Source organism: Homo sapiens, chromosome 11, assembly GCF_000001405.40.
Source record: "Homo sapiens chromosome 11, GRCh38.p14 Primary Assembly".
In the NCBI taxonomy this organism is placed as follows: domain Eukaryota; kingdom Metazoa; phylum Chordata; class Mammalia; order Primates; family Hominidae; genus Homo; species Homo sapiens.
In genome coordinates this window covers 103,168,011-103,186,745 of record NC_000011.10, presented here as the reverse complement: position 1 = coordinate 103,186,745, position 18,735 = coordinate 103,168,011, and the positions used below count along the sequence as shown (strand labels likewise).

At 31.8% G+C, this 18,735-nt stretch overlaps 1 protein-coding gene across 6 annotated transcripts in view; it reads right to left on the bottom strand.

Moving 5' to 3' along the window:
- The window catches only part of DYNC2H1 (dynein cytoplasmic 2 heavy chain 1), a 370,438-nt gene that overhangs the window by 293,118 nt on the left and 58,585 nt on the right, over window positions 1-18,735 (bottom strand). For all 6 annotated transcript variants that reach the window (NM_001080463.2, NM_001377.3, XM_017018291.2 and 3 more), the window contains 11 exons: window positions 17,786-17,991; window positions 16,456-16,638; window positions 15,678-15,860; window positions 13,441-13,664; window positions 12,576-12,691; window positions 10,312-10,511; window positions 8,926-9,190; window positions 7,513-7,720; window positions 4,860-4,989; window positions 1,695-1,850; window positions 245-504 (listed from right to left, as the gene is read on the bottom strand). In NM_001080463.2, the coding sequence (NP_001073932.1) occupies window positions 245-504; window positions 1,695-1,850; window positions 4,860-4,989; window positions 7,513-7,720; window positions 8,926-9,190; window positions 10,312-10,511; window positions 12,576-12,691; window positions 13,441-13,664; window positions 15,678-15,860; window positions 16,456-16,638; window positions 17,786-17,991 (2,131 nt within the window). The remainder of the gene's footprint in view (window positions 1-244; window positions 505-1,694; window positions 1,851-4,859; window positions 4,990-7,512; window positions 7,721-8,925; window positions 9,191-10,311; window positions 10,512-12,575; window positions 12,692-13,440; window positions 13,665-15,677; window positions 15,861-16,455; window positions 16,639-17,785; window positions 17,992-18,735) is intronic.

Below are 18,735 nucleotides of genomic sequence, written 5' to 3'. Positions count from 1 at the left end.
CGGATAATTTTTAAGAGTATCTTCTCAGATTGCTGTCTTTCCAGTAGAAATCACACAACCTGGAAAAGAAAAGGACACACTATTCCCCATAGTTCTTATTTTTATAAGTAATGAAAATAAAATGAATCTTCCATGAAAATGTAAATGCTACTTTAACCAAAAGAAACATAACAAAAGCCATTAAATCAATTAGGGGCGGCAGGAATAAATCCACAACATATACCTTTGCCAATATTTTTCTTACCCTTTGCCACATCCTTCTGGTCCTACCAGAATAAAGGGCTGTTTAGTATCAGAACTTAACCATGGTTTGAAATAATCTAGACCTCGTTGCATGTCAGGAGTCTGAATGACTGGAAGAGTTAAGCCGTTACTGAAATCATCAGCAGTCAAGTCTTCTGGCTTCTTAAGCACATATGTTGCTAATCGACCCCTAGTAGAGTCATAGTAGGTATCCATAGGTTTGTGAAAGTCTGGAGGAGATTCTCGTGCCCAATGAAAAACCTTAAGAGGAAAAAATTGTGATAAGTTTTCACATACTCCAGAGTGTGTGACATTTTAAAATTCTTCCAAGTAAATATCCCAAAAGTAAATCATCTTAGTTCCAAGAAAACTTTACATAAACTAAACCTATTTTATCATTAATGTAACATTTTATCTCAAATATTTTTCTCTAAATGATCATTTATGCAAGTAAATTAAAGTATATATAGGAGATAATGACATAGTGGATATTTATTTATACACTAAGGTATAAATATATTCCATTTTAATGGAGTTCTTATTAACATTAAATCACAAAGTACAGAATGCAGAAATCCTAAAGCCCTTCATTTCTGCCATATCCTGGTACTGTCCATCACAGTGTCACTACCACTGCTCTCCACCTGTTATTCTTCTTTTTAATACTGAAAACTGTTATCTATGCATATATAAAGCAGAGTTAGCCCTTAATACTATTCTTCAATACATTTATTCGGAACTTTGACAAGAGAGTATGTGCTTAAAAGCAGCATATAGTATGTCACTGAGTGGTAACAATGAGAAGCATCTGGCAACAGAGGCAACAGGACAGCCATGGAAAGGGAGACGGAATAGAGAAAGCAGTAAATGACACTATCAAAGAAGCAGCAAAATGAGAAAAAAAAGCTGTTAATGTTAGAGCCAACCCAAAGGAATAAATGTCCAATAATTTCAGTAGAGGTCAATTGGAAAAAAAATCACTTATTATTTAGAATTCAGCTTTATAAACAACTTGACTGTAATACAACTTTAACATATATTAAAGAAAATATTTATTAATAATTAATTCATCCTAATATTCCCAATTCCTAAAACTGCTCTAGTTAAAAGGATGATAAAAACTAAACTATTCTAAGATTTTTAAATGAATGAAATAATTATTAATGTAGACAAGTAGGTTCAAAAATGTCTAACTTAAAAAAGATATGGTCCAAACTTTAACTTATAAAACATTATTTTATAAAATGTTAATAATATTATCAAACATCATAAAATAACTCAAAGGAGAAAATATAAATACACATACATAAATACATTATTACTCAATTGAATACATAATTTCAAATTTTAAAAGTTCCATATCTTACAGTTACAAATCATTGTGTTTTGGCAGTTAAGAGTTAATGAAAAGTTAAAGTTTTGACTAAATATAGGCTATAAATATGCATTACCTCTTTGGTAAATTCCAAACGTGACTTCATATTCAGATTTCCACCAAGTCCCCTTATGAGATTAATAATGAATTCGTCATGATCTCTGCAACCATGTAGATGTGACAAACCATTCATCACAGTCCCAACCAAACTTGTTTCTACCACATAGTCATTCTGTTGATTAAAATCCGTGATACAAACAGACAAAAGGCAACTATTAACCAGTAAACATAGAACCATACAGACTGATGTTCACATACCTTTTCAAGAACCATTTTTAAACTCACTCCTCTATTCAAACTGTAGAAAGTTTGGATTTCATTCAATTTTTATATATACTTTGAAAATAAAAAGTAATCATGAAAGTACAATCATATATTTCTAGCTTTCAGTGCTACAGTCCTCAAATAGATACAGTTTATTTACTTCCTAAACCTGAAGAATATAAAAGAAAAGGTAAGTTAGGGAGCATTGTTCCAAAAAGAATACATGTTCATTTCCTCTTGCTGATAAAAAGAATACAAGAGCCAAGAGCTAGATTGATGGCACTAGAAAAGAAACGTTAGAAAAAGCAGGCATAAATGACAAACCACATGGAGCTTTCTCTGAAAGAATTTTTAAATGAAACTTCTGGACTTCAGTGCTGTGTAGATGCTTTGATCTGTAAGCCTCCCTGGGGTCCCTGGTAAGTGCCAGAGAGTTAAAGAAAAAATGGCTCTCAGTCTTTCTATAAATATTTACGGAGAACCAATCATGCATTAGGATCTGTATGTGGTGCCAGGTTTGTTTTTGCTTTGTTTTGTTAAAAGCTGGAATAAACAGGGTCCCTGTCTTCATGGAGCTCAAGCATAGCACAGGAAATGGTTAACAAATTGTGGTAAGAGCTACAGCAGTACAGAATGTTGTGGGAAACAGTAACTCAGATTGAGGGCTCACGGCTTCTTTAAAAAAAGGTGACATTTAAGCTAAGACTGAAGGATGAGATCTATCTGCTTATGCAGAGAATAGAGCACATGCAAAGAAAAACTTAGCACTGTTAAGGAATTAAAAGAAGTTATGCCTAAGTAAGCAAGGAAACAGTGTTTTAAGTCAGAGAAATAGGCAAGGGCCAGAGTGCAGAATTTATCAGACATGGTAAGGAATACAATCCTTATTTTCCTTGTCTTTAACATGTTTTTTATAATAGAGTAAAATTACCCAGTTTACATTTTAAAAACATCGCTGTGCTTAAAAAAATTAATATTTTTGTGAGAAAGAAGAAATAGGAGGAAGAGCAGGAAGAAAGGAGAAGAAAGAAAGAAATCTAGACAGACTCATACTGAGAGTTCCAGATTTTAAAGGTGAGATAAAGGAAATGTACATATTTTCTTCTATATTTTCTTATTTGCTGAATTCATACAAGAAAGCAAAGATTTATCCCATAGGCTGAGGAAGAGAAAAAAGAAGAAAGCAAAGTTCTAGTTATAAATACAATTTCAGCATTTGACTAGAGAATTCATTGTGGTATACCTCAGAACCTGTGCATGGTGAACAAAATACAGGATAAAAAGAAAAGAACCCTTAACACATTAAATAAAACAAACAAACAAACAGCGGTGTGACCTCAAAACATAAACCATTTTTTTTCCTAACTGAATCTTTGGTATTCACTCTATTGTTTAACAATCTTATCCTGTCGTCATTTCTACAGTCATAAACCCCTATATATACATAAATATATTCCATCTAATACGATACTCCTATTATAACATTCACACATCTATGAGCAGATTACCTCAAAGTATCTGCATTGGAAAGCCTTGTTAGGCTCTGAATGTTTTGTACTAATGAAATAACATATCTACTGAAAAGGTGTCACAATGTAGGCATCAGGTATATAATTAAGCACAATACTATCATTCATTTGCTATCACTTAATATCATACTTGGTTCTGAGGACACAATGAAGAGTGTGATAAGCTTGGTCCTTGCCTTCAAGGTGCTTATAGTTTAATGTAAACAGACAATTATAACATAGTTGGTAGATGCTGTATGTTGCTACAGAAGCACAAAGGAGGAGACAGCTCAGTCAGACTAGGAGCTAATGGGAGTGTTCCCTTTCCTAGGCCTCCAGGAAAACCCACCTCACTTGCATCGCTATCCTCACAAATCCCTATTCCTCCATTTTTCATTCTTACAAAGTCAGAAAAGAAAAAGTTTGAGAAAACGAAAACAAATCTTCATTTCTCTATATCTTGTTCAATCCTAAAGTATTGAACTCTAAATCAAGTTCAGATTCACAATCACAATCAGATACTTTCAAAAAACTCACTGCTATTTATATCCTCTATTTTGTATATGTTTTCATTTTTCATAAAAGCAATGGCATAAACATGTAGAATATCTGAACACCCTCCACGGTCTTCTTTGCATGCTAAACTTTTTTCACATTTCAAATCCAAAATCAAATGTGATCTCCTTTTAAACCTCTTCTAAATGACAGCAATATTCTCTTCATCCTGCTAAATTGTGGTTATCTGTTTGCATGTCATTTTTCTCCATTAGATAAACCCTTCTCAAGGAAAGGAATTACCTTGTTAATCTTCACCTCTCAAAGTCTCTCTTGTATTATGCTTCACATATATTAGATATTCAATGTTTTTGTTAAATATAAACACGTTTTCATTATTGCAAATAACTCACCATCCCTTTTCTAGTTTAGTGCTAACTTCATATTGTTTTTAACCTTATATATATCATATATATGTGACATATATATAGGTATTTATTGGTATATATAGGTGTGTATATATAGGTGTATATATAGGTATATAAATACCTATATATTATATATACATATGTCATATATATAGGTATTTACTGGCATATCAGTAAAAAGTGGCAGCAAGATGGTTTTTGCTAGTAAAAATTAGAAAGACATTCTAGTAATCAAGATTGTTAGGTAAGCAGTGTAAAGTATTATGAATGAAAGAAGTAAAATGTTTTAAGACTAACAAAATAAAAAGTTATGATAAGAGATATAACAGTTATGCTAAGAGATACAGAGGAGTAGCAGTGACAAAATCCACCTCTCACCTCACACCCACATTCCAGCAGAGTTCTACCACAAGGAAGTTAAAATAAGCATCACTCTTAATCATACTTCTCACCTCGATTAATTATGAAATATTATGGTTAATTTACCTGCTTTAGAACCCATTGTAAAGCCTTTTCAAAATAATCTCCAATCCAATTTTCAAGATTATTTCTATATTCAGCAGGCTGATTCCTCAACCAAGATTTTATCAGAGAATTAAGATCTGTCTCTTCATCACTGAAACAGTTTAGACAAATAAAAAATTACTTAGGAAGAAATTATCAATTTACATTAAAATAAATTTCTTCTCCAATAAACATTATTCTACGCACATATTTTGTCTGCTAGCATACAAAAGGTGGCTTTAGTTACTTTACTATGAGTATGTGTGAATAATACAATTACATCTGTGTGTGTGTATACATACACATAATATATACAAACACACATGCATATAGGTATATATACATATATATGTCATTTTCTATAAAACAAATACATTTCATCTATTTTATTATAAATATAAACTAAACGAGAATTATATATCTACACAACCTACTCTACATAGGCTCTACATAGCCTAAAGTGGTCTCAACCATTCCTACTCAGAGTGGTCTGTTAGAAATGTAAAATCCCAAATCCCTCTCCAGACATACTAAAGCAAAAATCTTCATTTTAATAAGACCCCTTGATGATTCAAATGCACATTAGAGTTTAAAATGCACTGATCTAAACTGTAATACAGATCTTTAGAAACACTTTTTCTCTATCCTATAAAAATCCAACTACCTAAATTCCCATGCCACTATTAAAATTTAAAGATCTTCCTAAAGCAAACTATAATTCCTTTAGCAAAGCACATAATTATCTGGGTAAAATTCAATTATTTCACCAAAATCCAATTGGTGAAATAATAGAGATTCACATCTTATTCAAAATTATACCTTATATAATTATAAAAAACTATAGTAAAAATAATTCATATTATTTTAGAATTGACAAGACCTCACGATTTTTGTCATTTTTTCCTATCTTCCACCATTGTTTCATAGCAAATTAATAAATGACACTGATGCCTTGAATCTCTGCTCTCACATTTTCTATCCAGTCTAATATGAAAAAAATTGAAATATCAAAGAGGTTAATAATTATATAACATTAGATTAGCCCAAAGTAGGCCAACCAAAGATGCTAAGCTCCTTCAGAATAAAGAGTTTCTTACCAATGGTATTTTCTCAATGTCTATGAGACTACATGTCTTGGTTTATCCAATACAACACTGCTTCATACCAGTTGTCCCAGAATCATTAATAATAACATTTATTTCAGTATTAAAAGGTCCACATTTGGCCTATTACATAGCAAGTGCTCAACAAATATCTGCTAAAGGAATAAAGGAAACCTAAAACTAAGATATAAGCTGAACACATAGCAACAAAAAAAGTTAATATGTATTTGTATTTTACATGAAATCATATACATTCATTATGCCTTTCACAAACAATACCTGATTCACCAACAATTTTCAACTCCTCTAAAGCAATGTCTTATTTTCTGCTAAATATTAATAGTATTCTACTTACTGCTTAGTTCACTTATATTCCACTTGTATAAATTGTATAAATTTGCCTCCTCTATGTGAAAGTATTTTCCAAAAAGATAAGCTCTCTACAAACAGTTTTACTCCTTTCTAGCTCTCTCTCTCCTCAGGTGCGTAATTTAATACCATATATATAATATTTAACAAGTACTTTAAAATTTAACTAAAAACTTACCTTTATTCTATTTTTCTCACAAGATTATAACACAATTAATAAATATGATAAATTGTGTGCAAATGCTGCTATGAAAGCAGTAAACCCAAAATTATATTATCTTTTAATAATACCTCAAAATATCAATTGAAGCTTCTGGCTAATTTAAAGTAAATGTTTCCTACAATACTGTCAAAAAAGTAAACAACTAAATAATTTCAAAACATGATTTGAATCAACTTTATTACATTGTCATATGTCATACAACACCTAAAATGACTTTAAATGGTACTAAAAAAAATAAAATGCTACAGTATGATAAATAAAAATTGGAAAAGTAAAATAAAAGTTTCTTACTTATGCCAAAATATTACTGATTTTCAAAAATAAAATTGGTGCAAATGTCCATGCTCTGGTATGTGACTATTTTACATGATATCTAAAATTGGTTTATTATTCACTTTCAGTCTTTAAGCCTCTTCCAAATATACTGAAGAAGAAAAAAAATATTAAGTAAAGAGGTGTTCAATTTGTAAAATGAAAAGACTGGGTCATTGGACCTAATAAACCTGAATTAGCCCTAAAATTCTGTGAATCTAAAATTAAATAGATTTAATTAATTAAATTCTAAAATTAAAATATTGCTACTCAGCTTTAAATTATTAGCTCATAATATTAGCTCATATTAGCTCATAATTAATATGTTCACTTCTCTGAAATCAGTCACAATATTTCAACAAAATAATAAACAGACCAAATTTTCTTGCTGTTTCATTTAAACAAATAATTATTTCATAATTGTGATACAACTAAAACTCCTAAAATAATTCAATTTTGTAATAAAACAGGAACTCTCTGAATTAATTAAAACCTAACAAAAAAGAAGTTAATCATAAATGGGAAAAATATGTATTCATTATTCACACTACACTTATTTTACTTAATATGAAACCAGGACAGTAAAAGAATATTCTAATATACTGTATATAAATAATCTATGGCTTACCTAAGAAAGATCATTCCCATTCTAGATATTGTGGCTGGTGATGCACAACTTAAATCATGAGTTTCAAATACAAAGTTAACATTTGGGCCAAACTGAATCCTTTCTCCACTGGGCATAGTCAGCAGTCGATTATCATCCAGAACAGAATTCAGAGATTCTATCCATTCAGGGTCAATATCACCATCACAGATTATCCATGAGCTGACATCTATTTTCAAATCAAAACAGTGGAGACAAAATAAAAATATATGCAGTGATAATAATTAAAAATAAGGACTAAAACAATTCTTAATTTTCATATGAATTTGTACTACAAATATGCTGAAGAACCCATGCGCAATCCTGGCTCAGCTGGCCAAAGACTCAGATATATATCATGTAATAATACTTTATCTATAAACATACAAAATAGGCAATTTCACTAAAAAAAATGCAAGGCTTAGGTATTTTTATTCCCACAAGATATTCTTCAGACTTTTGTCTTCTACTATGTTATGAGAATGTACGAAGGCTTGCTCTGTTGTATATCTTTTAGAAACTACAGAAAATCCAATTTCCAGTTCCCTGCATGAGAAATAAAAAATTCACCACTGTCAAATTTTCTTGACATATAAAAAGGTGACCTCAAAGGGGGAAAAATAGTGACCAATTGTATACATAGTCTTTCCAGGATAAAACCTTTTTTATCCATCTTTCCTAAAATGGGAGTGGTTAATACTGTACTTGGACCTTTGAAACAATTCAAAGAGGAAAATTTCACTGATAAAAGTGTTAGAAATACATGAAGGTAATAACTGGCCTTTACTTAATGTGGTATTATATAGAAAAAGAAAAGACTACATTGAAAATCCCTTCCAATGCTTTCACTTACTGCCTTAGAAAAATAATTATTAATTAAATTATAACCTGGCAAAAAGTAGGGAGTCTCCTCTGATTCCAGCCAAAAATTCTCTTAAAAAACCAAGTCAACAAATTTAGACCAGGAAATCCGCAGTTTTACCACTTAAATTTTCAAAAGTATTCAAAATACTTTATTCAAACTAATGAGTTAATACTGTTCATACACACCAATTTTAACCCCAAACAAAAATCTGTCATCTTGTTTATTTCTGAGGCAGTATAATATCAACTCAGCAAAGATTTTATATTCATTCAGTAAATTAATCTAGTTGTGAATTACAATTCACCCAACTTACTCTAAGTTTCTATTATATTAAAAATAGTTACAGAGTTTAACTGAAAATGATAGCATGTCTTGGCCCCCTCCAAAGTAAAATATCAAATGTACATCATTTTAACTTAATTATGACTTTATGGTCATGTAGAAGTCTTGACAAAGACAGCATTATAGACAAATTATATCATTATCTAAGAATTACTAAGTAAAGCAAAGAAGTATACATAGAGACTAACCTTGAGGTTCCCGAACCACTTGACGAGCACTATTTGTCAAAACACCATCAGACCATTCTCTTGTGTCCATGTCAATATGGCCTAATAATTGATATCGAGGCATAGCTTTGGGATTCATAGTATATTGTTTCACTACTTTGCCAGTTTTACAAAGCGCAGCCCTTAACATTCTCCAAAGCGTTGATTTTCCAGCACCACTTGGACCAACAATAACAACTCCCATCCTCTGGCATAACTGTTCATACAATTCTAAAGCCTTTTTGATCTAGTAGGAAAGAAATATGTTCATATATGATTTATAATATTCAATCATACTTAGTTCTGCTTTTATTCTGTAACACTTGTTCTAATGTGTAAATTAAGCCTTTGATTTCTTCAGTGGAAGGTATTGCCTAAAATGTAATAGACTACCTAAATAAATCTGAACATATTTACAATATAATCTTTAAATACTTCAATATTTCTTTAAAAGAAACAAAGGTGCTTTCCAGGTTTCCAAGTTCAAAAAACTTGTATGAACAATTATGTTCGTTACTTGCTCCACTCATTCACTCATTCAAATATATTCATTATTTTATTCACTTATTCATTCATTCATTCATTCTTATCTTACTTCTCTCCAAAACTGAGGGCAAAGTGCTAATTTTGGACAATTATTTGCACTACATAAAGAGACTCACTTAAAATCCTAATAAATTATCAAAATGAAACTAAATCATATATATAATCAATTATAAAAAAATGATGAATCCATTACACATTAGGTACTATAACAGGCAATAGAAATGAAATGGTGAGCAAAAATATATATGGATGGCCAGATGCGGTGGCTCAGGCCTGTAATCCCAGTGCTTTGGGAGACCAAGGTGGGCAGATCACCTGAGGTCAAGAGTTCGAGACCAGCCTGGCCAACATGGTGAAATGCCATCTCTACTAAAAATATAAAAATTAGCCAGGTGTGGTGGTGTGCACCTGTAATCCCAGCTATTCAGGAGGCTGAGGCAGGAGAATTGTTTGAACCTGGGAGGCAGAGGTTGCTGTGGGCCGAGATCACACCACCGCACTCCAGCCTGGGCGACAAAGCAAGACTCTGTCTCAAAAAATAAAAATAAAATATATATATACATGGATCCTGCCTTTCACGGAGATTACTTTATGGTGGAGGAGAATCAATATTAAACACACAAACATGAAACAAGAATATTTGATAAGAGCACACAGCAAGAAGATCAAATCAGGACTTGAAGATCTGGGAAGACTTCCCTGAGCAAGTGAGATCTAAGTTGAAAGATAAAAGATAAGTTGAAAGATGAAGGACAAGGATAGTTAATAAGGAATCAACTAGGAAAAGGGATCAATCTATTATAAAATATTCTTGACAGTTACCTGATTGGGTATAATTTCATAATTGGCCTCTTCAAAGACCTGCTTTAATGCAGCACTTAGTTCATCATATTCCACTTCTTTCAATTCAATTCCCGGAAAGACATCTTTTATCAGTGCATCAAACCGGGTGCAATCAGTAAACGTAAACTTTGACATGGTATTAAGCCTCAGTGCTTGTACCACAATATGACTTTCATTAGCTAGAAAAAAGTTTCATTTTAAAATTATTTATTATTACTTTAATGATGAAAAAAGTTTTTAAATATTCTATAGCCTTGATATGCATTATTAATCATTAAATGCACTAGAATTTAGTAACATTTAAAGACATTACATCACATGAATTGGCAAGCTTACTTTAATATCTTTTGACTGCTAAAAAGTAAATATCACTAAGTACAGTTATAAACTCTTTCCCATAGAATTCAGATCACAGGGTACCAAGACTTTAATTAATAATAAAAATCATTATCACTAATATTTGCATAGTACTTCACCTTTTATATTATATGATGTAATCCTTTTAACAACCCTATAAAGTAGGTTAAAAAGTATTACTATTGTTATTCCAATTTTACACATGAGAATGTTAAGTCTCTGAAGGTTTAAGTGACTTTCAGAAAAGGCACAGCAATATTACAGCTAAGATTCAATTCCAGATAAACTAATTCTAAATTCAGGTGCCTCTCCAAATATACCAATATCGTCTCACAGTTTATGTCCTAAGATAAACAACTAACAAACTGCGCAACAATCTTTGATCAGCCTTGTTCAAATTTGGTTCACAAACCCATTCTTAAGCCAAATGCAAATACTGATACCACTGCCAGACTCTTATTTTCACAGATATTAGCTGCTGATTGGTAAGATACATAAAGTCAAAGAAACTATTTGCCTGGCATTTCCTCTATAATTGCTTAATATTTCCATGCTTAAGTACACATAAAAAGTCTGGACTTCTCTAAAGCTTATTTCAAGCACTGAACTCATAAGCCATCTTTACTTATTACAGGTATGGTTTAAATATTTCTTAAAAATCACCAAATATAGACAATTAAAAAATAGTAACATAAACACTCACAAAATAACTATATCTACCCAGGCATACGCCAACCTAATAATACAGCTAATGTAGATGCCATTTTTAAGAGACACACTTTGATCATTTAAAGTCCAAAGAGGTAATTTCATGTGGTCCTTTTTTCTATGTTGTCTCTACTTTCATAGTGTTTTAACTTAGTTTTCAATAGCAACCTGAAGAAACTGATTATTCAGCCTTTCATGAACGTATACCTCCACAGGTGGGGGAAATCATTATTTTTATGTGAATAAAAAACCATTTTTTTATATGAGGAAAGTATAGCACATATATATGAGTCTGTATTGAGCTAAATAAATGAGTTAATGAATACATAAATGAGGCAGAAAAGATAAATCTTCATTACAGAAGAATTTCAAATAATATATGAAGATACTACCCCCCACCCCACCCCACCCCCCCAAACCCCGCAAGGAGTGGAGCTTAATCCTTTCCTTGCCACTCTGAGAGTAAGCTAGATTTATTAACATGATTCCAAAGAATAAAGCCAGGAGGGTAGAAAATAACTTCACATTGGAGAAACCTGGCAACACTACCATAGCCAGGTGATGAAGGTTAACATAACTAGTGATGTCATATGGTTGTTATATACCCACTGATATGACGCAGTAAGAAAGACACTCCACCTCTGCGGTATTCTTTCCAAACATTTATAACCTAGTCTAATCATAATATACTAGCTTTAGAAAGAGAAAATCCTACATGTGTTTCTAAGGTTTCTGTTCTTGTTTCAAGACAAGACAAATTATCAGGCTCTACTCTACACCTACTGAATCAGGACCTTTGGGGGTGGGGTCTAATAATCTGTTTTAACAAGCCACTGGGTGATTCCAATGGACATTGAAGTTAAAGAACAAGTGGACTTTACATATTACAACTATTTAATATTTAACACACATTAAAAGTTATAAGACGTCAGGTAAAAACTGGAGAAAACCTGAATAAAGTAGGAAATTTAGTTTAAAAACAATGTATCAAAGTTGATTCATTAGTTGTGACAAATATACCACACTAATGAAAGATGTTAACAACAGTAGAAATTGGGGCAGGGTATACAGTAATCCTTAATATTGTATCTACAACTTTTCTGTAAATCTCAAACTATTCTAAATTAACGCTTATGTTTTTAAAAATAAGTTAATGTATTTGGAATAATCAATCATACCATTCTGTGTAGTGCCACTTTTGTTTAGCTGTCTAAGGAGATTTCCACTTCCTCTCAGAACTGTCTTCAAAGCTCTCAAACCCCAATCATAATGTTGCTGAGGTGTCAAAAGTTCCCTGAAATAGAGACATGGAAATCAACACATCAAATAGCTAGAAGAAATTACTTTCATCATAACATCCAAAGAAATACAGAATATAACACTGACACATAGAAATGAATGTTGATATCCCATTAATTTATATAAGGGAAGCAACCACACAAAATAATCATTCAAGTAAGCTGTTAAAGATGGACGGTTCTCAAGGGTAGGATAAAGCTTTTATGAACAAGCTAATTATCTTAATGAAGACACCAAATGACAATTACCTGTTACCCTAATGCCTAAAGCCTTTAATCAATCCATCTTGCTCTCAATCTCTGACACTGTCTAGTTCACCATTATCTCTTAAGTGATATGGAAGAGAATTGTACATTGTCCCAAAGAAGCTAAATGTCAGTTTCTATTACTAGAAATAAGACATAAGAAAAATTGTGAAGGATTCTTTCCAAAGAACAGTAGTTTGTGAGTGGTCAGCTGATAAATTAGTTCAGTAAGAATCATTTAGCTGAAGCACTCTAATATAAACATTTTGAAGAAAAAAAACTGATCAAATTAATAATATTTAAGAAAAGCAAGTAGTTTTGAACCAATATTTTTATGTGCATGCTAAAGCCTTTCATAGCTACACTATAAGTACAATAAAATCATCAGAATAAAAATCATGCAATAGGTGAATTGAGAAAATATGAAAATGATCACTAATAACCAAAATCAATCATTAGAAATGTAAAATATAAAAATATTTAGAACAAGAAAACTCACCTAGATAGATTGAAAATAGCTACCAATTTTCTGCTCAATACTTTAGCGTCTTTAAAGCCTTCCGAATAGAGAATAACTTCTGCAATAAGCTCATTGTCTGGATGAGACATAGCTACGGGCCTGAAAAGCTGTTTAAGATTATCAGGCAGTTTTTGTCTTCCTCCATAACCTTTTCCAGCAGGATTCATAGTGATAAAAATTCCAGAATTAGAATTTACTTCTACCTGAAATATTAATTAAAAATATTAATTTAAATATTAAATATTAAGTTAAAATATTTAACATATAGGCATCGTTTATATTTGAAACTATAAACATAAAATATGCTGCCAACAGAATTTTATTGTGACATATTACTACACATAAATCTTATACCTTAGGTAAAGGTAACCTCCAATGTACTAACCATCTCCTTACTCAATATATGATAAATTCCTTAAGACCTACACTGCTTTGCAGAGTTTATTTACAATCAGTTTTTTGAGGCTGAATGTTTAAGAGATACTAATTTCATTATCTATTTATACATTAAATATATGTTTACTAAAAGCCTTCTTAGTACTAAACACTTTGTTAAGTACACAGAGACAACTGAACTAAATAATACTTTAAGCCACTCTGGAGCTCAGAGTCTATCTGGTATTACAGAGAGGCAATCATAGTGTAATAAATATTATGACAGGGAAGAACTGAATGTGATAACAGCACTTAGTAGGAGGATTTTCAGCAAAACCCTAAGAATAGAAGCTAAATTAGAATGTGTAAATAATGAATGGGCAATTAGTAAGTAGAAGCATCTAGAGTAGAAAAACCAAGAAATCTAGCTACAAAGGAAAGAAAAGAGAAAGAAGAAATATAAATCAGGGAAGGTTTGTTTATGTTTTAGTTATTATTAAGATGAAAAAGATGTGATTATGTTTAAAACCTAATGAGGAATTGGTAGAGGAGGGAAGACTGAAGCTATAGCACAAGGGATAATAAGGTCCCAGGGAAGAGGATTCCAAAGTACAGGTGAAAAGATTAGTACTGGTTGGGAGAAAAGACAACTCTTTCTTTGTAAGAGAAGAAAAAAAAGTGAATGTAGAAGAAACTAAATCTTGAAGGCAGGTAATTCTCACTTAATAGTTTCTTCTCTTTTTCTTTGTGAAGAGTTTAAACATCACATAAACAACATGTTAACAATTTAGAACTGGTCTTACATTCTTGGGCTACCTAGAAAACTATGTACTGTTAAAATGTTATTTTATATAACATGATAATTTCTTAGTTCTTACAACTTCCTGTATTCAGCAATCCACATTATATAAAAAAGTTTACGTTTTCTGTACAAACGAATTTATATTCTAGTGACATTAATGTATATCTCCTATTTGGAGAAGTGAGGAACAAAATAGCTAAGTGTTTGTTGTTTTAACATTCATATAGAATAATGATCAAAAACATGTGCTTCATTCTGCTCCTATGCTTGAAGGTTAAACAAAAAAAAATGTGCTTCAGAATTAGACAGACCTGGGTTCAATTCCTAGCTCCACTTCTTACTCTTACTTATCAAGTCCTAGTTTCTTCAGCCACAAAGCAGGGAAAAAAATAATAGCACCTACTTCAAAGGGTTGTGGTAATTATTAAATGAGACAATACATTAAGGCACTGTGAACAATGTCAGCACAGACAATAGAATAATATATAATACAACAATATAAATATTATTATAACTGAATTATCCAAAATGGAAAGTTTAAAAATGAATAATGGGCTGGGTGTGGGGCTCACACCAGTAATCCCAGCATTTTGGGAGGCCGAGGGGGGTGGATCACCTGAGGTCAGGAGTTCAATACCAGCCTAGCCAACATGATCAAACCCTATCTCTACTAAAAATACAAAAATTAGCTGGGCGTGGTGGCGGGCACCTGTAATCCCAGCTATTCAGGAGGCTAAGGCAGGAGAATCGCTTGAACCTGGGAGGCAGAGGTGGCAGTGAGCCAAGATCACACCACTGCACTCCAGCCTGGGCAACAAGAGCAAAACTCTGTCCCCCAAAAAAAAAGAATAATGAAAGTAGGACCAAAAAAGGGTAAGAAACCTCAGAAACGTTTTATAGCTAAAAAAATCTTACAACACAGGTTACAGATTAGAAACACGGATGTCAGGAGAAATAAAAAGAGAATATTGCTTAAGTATGAGTAATATCAAGTCTTACAAAATATTTTAATTCTTTAAATTCCCAACATATTCTATACCTCCTTGCCAAGCAGTTCACATACAGTTCTATGATTCTTCAAAGCATCTTGAATTGTCTGGATTTGCATAGAAACTGCTGACAGTACAGATTCTTCCAGCCTATTAAATTCATCAAAACAACCCCAGGCCCCACACTTCACCAAACCAACAAATATTCGTCCCATTGACTTCACATCGATGCCCTTAAAAACAACAATAAAAATTATAGTCATTAAAAAATAATCAAAATCTCCATAACTACTTAATATTTAATGTTACTTATTGATAAGGTGATAATTTATCCCATCTATGCCTCTTTTGCTCATTTTAAAATACGGATTAAGTAGCTACTCTTTCAAAACCCAGGTTGATTTCAAGGGATAAACAAAATAATGCATGTGAAAGTGTTCTAAAAAGCTTGCAGAAAAAATACAAGATTTGTGTTAGTTACTCTTTAAGTCAAAATACAAATTACATACAAAATGTTTTTAAAACTGTCATCTGAAATGAACAGAAGATTTTTCCTTTTGTATTATTCTCTTTACTAAAAACATTTTTCTTCAATGTAATATAAATCTTCATTCTGTATTTAAAATTATTTCTTTGCCATAATTCTTAGAAAAGTTTTGGACTATACTACGTACAACCTCTGTCCATTTTACATTTCAATTTAAACAAATTCTGTCTTCAACTAATTTAAATGTAGTGATTTTTAAGTAGAGTATTTCATATACTAATAGAAACTAATCTAAATATGATTAACCCATTGTTACATATTTTGATAATTATTTATTCTACCTCATCACAATTAAAGACTAAAACTTGTCTTCCAAGAAGTCCACCTAAAGCCTTTACTGATTCCGTTTTCCCAGTTCCAGCTGGTCCATAAGGATTTCCTCCAAGTCCCATCTTCATGGCTTGAGTGAGAGTTAAGTAGCACTTGTCTGTCAGTGGAGTATAAACCAGTTTGGAAGCATTACCCTATACAAGAACAACACAAAGTCAGAGTATTCATGTTCTATTCAACATTTACAAATATTTTTACAGCATGAGATTGTAGTTAAAAAGATAAAAATGCAACAAACAGGTTAAAGTTTTTAACACAGAAAAATATCCAAAATTTTTTCTAGTGAAAGAAGCTTTCTAAACACAAGCTGAAATCAAACTTATTTTTCAAGAAAGTATTTCATACTATACTCAATACATTGTTAGGTTTCAAAATTGTTTCTCAAGTTCTTGTTAATGGCACAAAGATATACTTCTAAGGAAAAGAAATCCAAAATTATTATACAGTAATCATCCCATTTCATATTTTAAAATTTATATAAACTATTTCCTTGACTCTTATGATATCCACAAATCAGAACTATTTTGGAGATCACAAAGTGTAATGAATTTGAAAAATTCCTTAAGAAATTAATCATGTAATTTATCAAATAATTCTCAAAGTTTCTACTAAACTGTAGGGAAAACAGACTCCCATTCCAGCTACAATTTACAGTGTGTTTTTCCTCAATTGAGGTAGATAGATTTGGGTCCCAAATACATTTCCCTTTTGAAAAAGCCATTTGGCAGCTCTCCTAACATAGGTTTATTAACAATATTTTCAAATATATTTTGATGATTCATTCATTATGATAGAAAAAGGCAGAGGCAACAGGTGGAATTTTTGAGAACATGTTTACATTAACTAGGTTATTTGTCTGAAAATTTTTTCATCTTACAAACTAAAAAATATTTAGCAAACATTTTAGCATATTTAAAATAACACTAATTTTTGCCTTGTATAAGGAGACACAAACCAAATTGCTTTGACTGAGGTTGTCTATATTCAGTTCTCCTTGGATGAAGATATATTTCAAATTGTATATAAATGCAACTCCAAGAAAAGGTACATTTTTGAGAATTCAGTACAATACTAGCAATATTTTAACTTTTTTGTATATAGAATGAAGTTTCACTTTTTTCTTATGTGACACCTTTCTAATTCTGATTAAACAAGACAATAATACTAAAAATATTATGGAAAAATTACTACTTAAATAAAAAAGTATTTCTACCAATAACAAATTTTCTTTACAGTAAATAATTTCTAATTGGAAATATAAAACACTGCCACAACTCATACCTGATATTCATAAGTATACTGAAATTCAGAATCCACCATTTGAACACAACATGTATGATCACTTTTCATATAGAATCTAAGTTGTTTTTTCCAAGCCCAGTCTTCAGTTGTATGAACCTGAATTTGGTTTAACTGCTTTACCACATCAATATTATGGATAATGTCAAGAATTAGGGCTTTAAGTTTAAGCTCCAGGATGCCCGATTCTAGGCAGAAATAAAAATATTGACAATTGGAGAAAATGTTAGCCTGTGATTTATATAATTTATGATTACGTGTACAGGTGATTTCTCCATGAATTTAAATGGTAATTTCATGACACATATGAATGGTATAGTAATACAAATCACATAAGCTAAAAAAGTCAAATCTACCAGTAAGTAAAAAATAAGAATTTTGAGTATAAAAATTAAGATATCAAAATTCCAAGAGAAAAGAGTTTCAGTTCCTTATTCAAGGGAGTAAGCAGACTCCACTCTGCTTCTCCCTCTGAATGCAGGCATAAAAACCTGTTGGACAACATACATTGAACTGCTATTTAGAACTCTGAAAAGAGTAGCAGGCAGGTTGAGGAAGACCAGAATTAGAAGAGACACCAAACCAGTGGTGGATTTACCATTGTATTTTTCCCCCCTTCTGGCAACGCTAGGGCCATACCCAATGCAGCCAGAAACCGAAACTGGTGTAGACAGATCTCTAGAAAACCACCTCTAGCTCAGGCTTTAGAAGGAAAGGGGTCTTCTGCTAGCTATCCCACTGGCAGCTGGGACCCAGAAGTCCCTAAAACTCCAGAGGAGCTGTGATCCCAAGAGAGTAGGTAAACCCAAATTGCACAAAAGTGTGCAAGAAAATAAAGTACATGAACCCCAGCTTTCTGGCCAGAGAAACAAAACAGAAGGCTGAGGGAACCATAAAATGCTGGGAAGATCATGGAGAAGAAGGAGATTGAA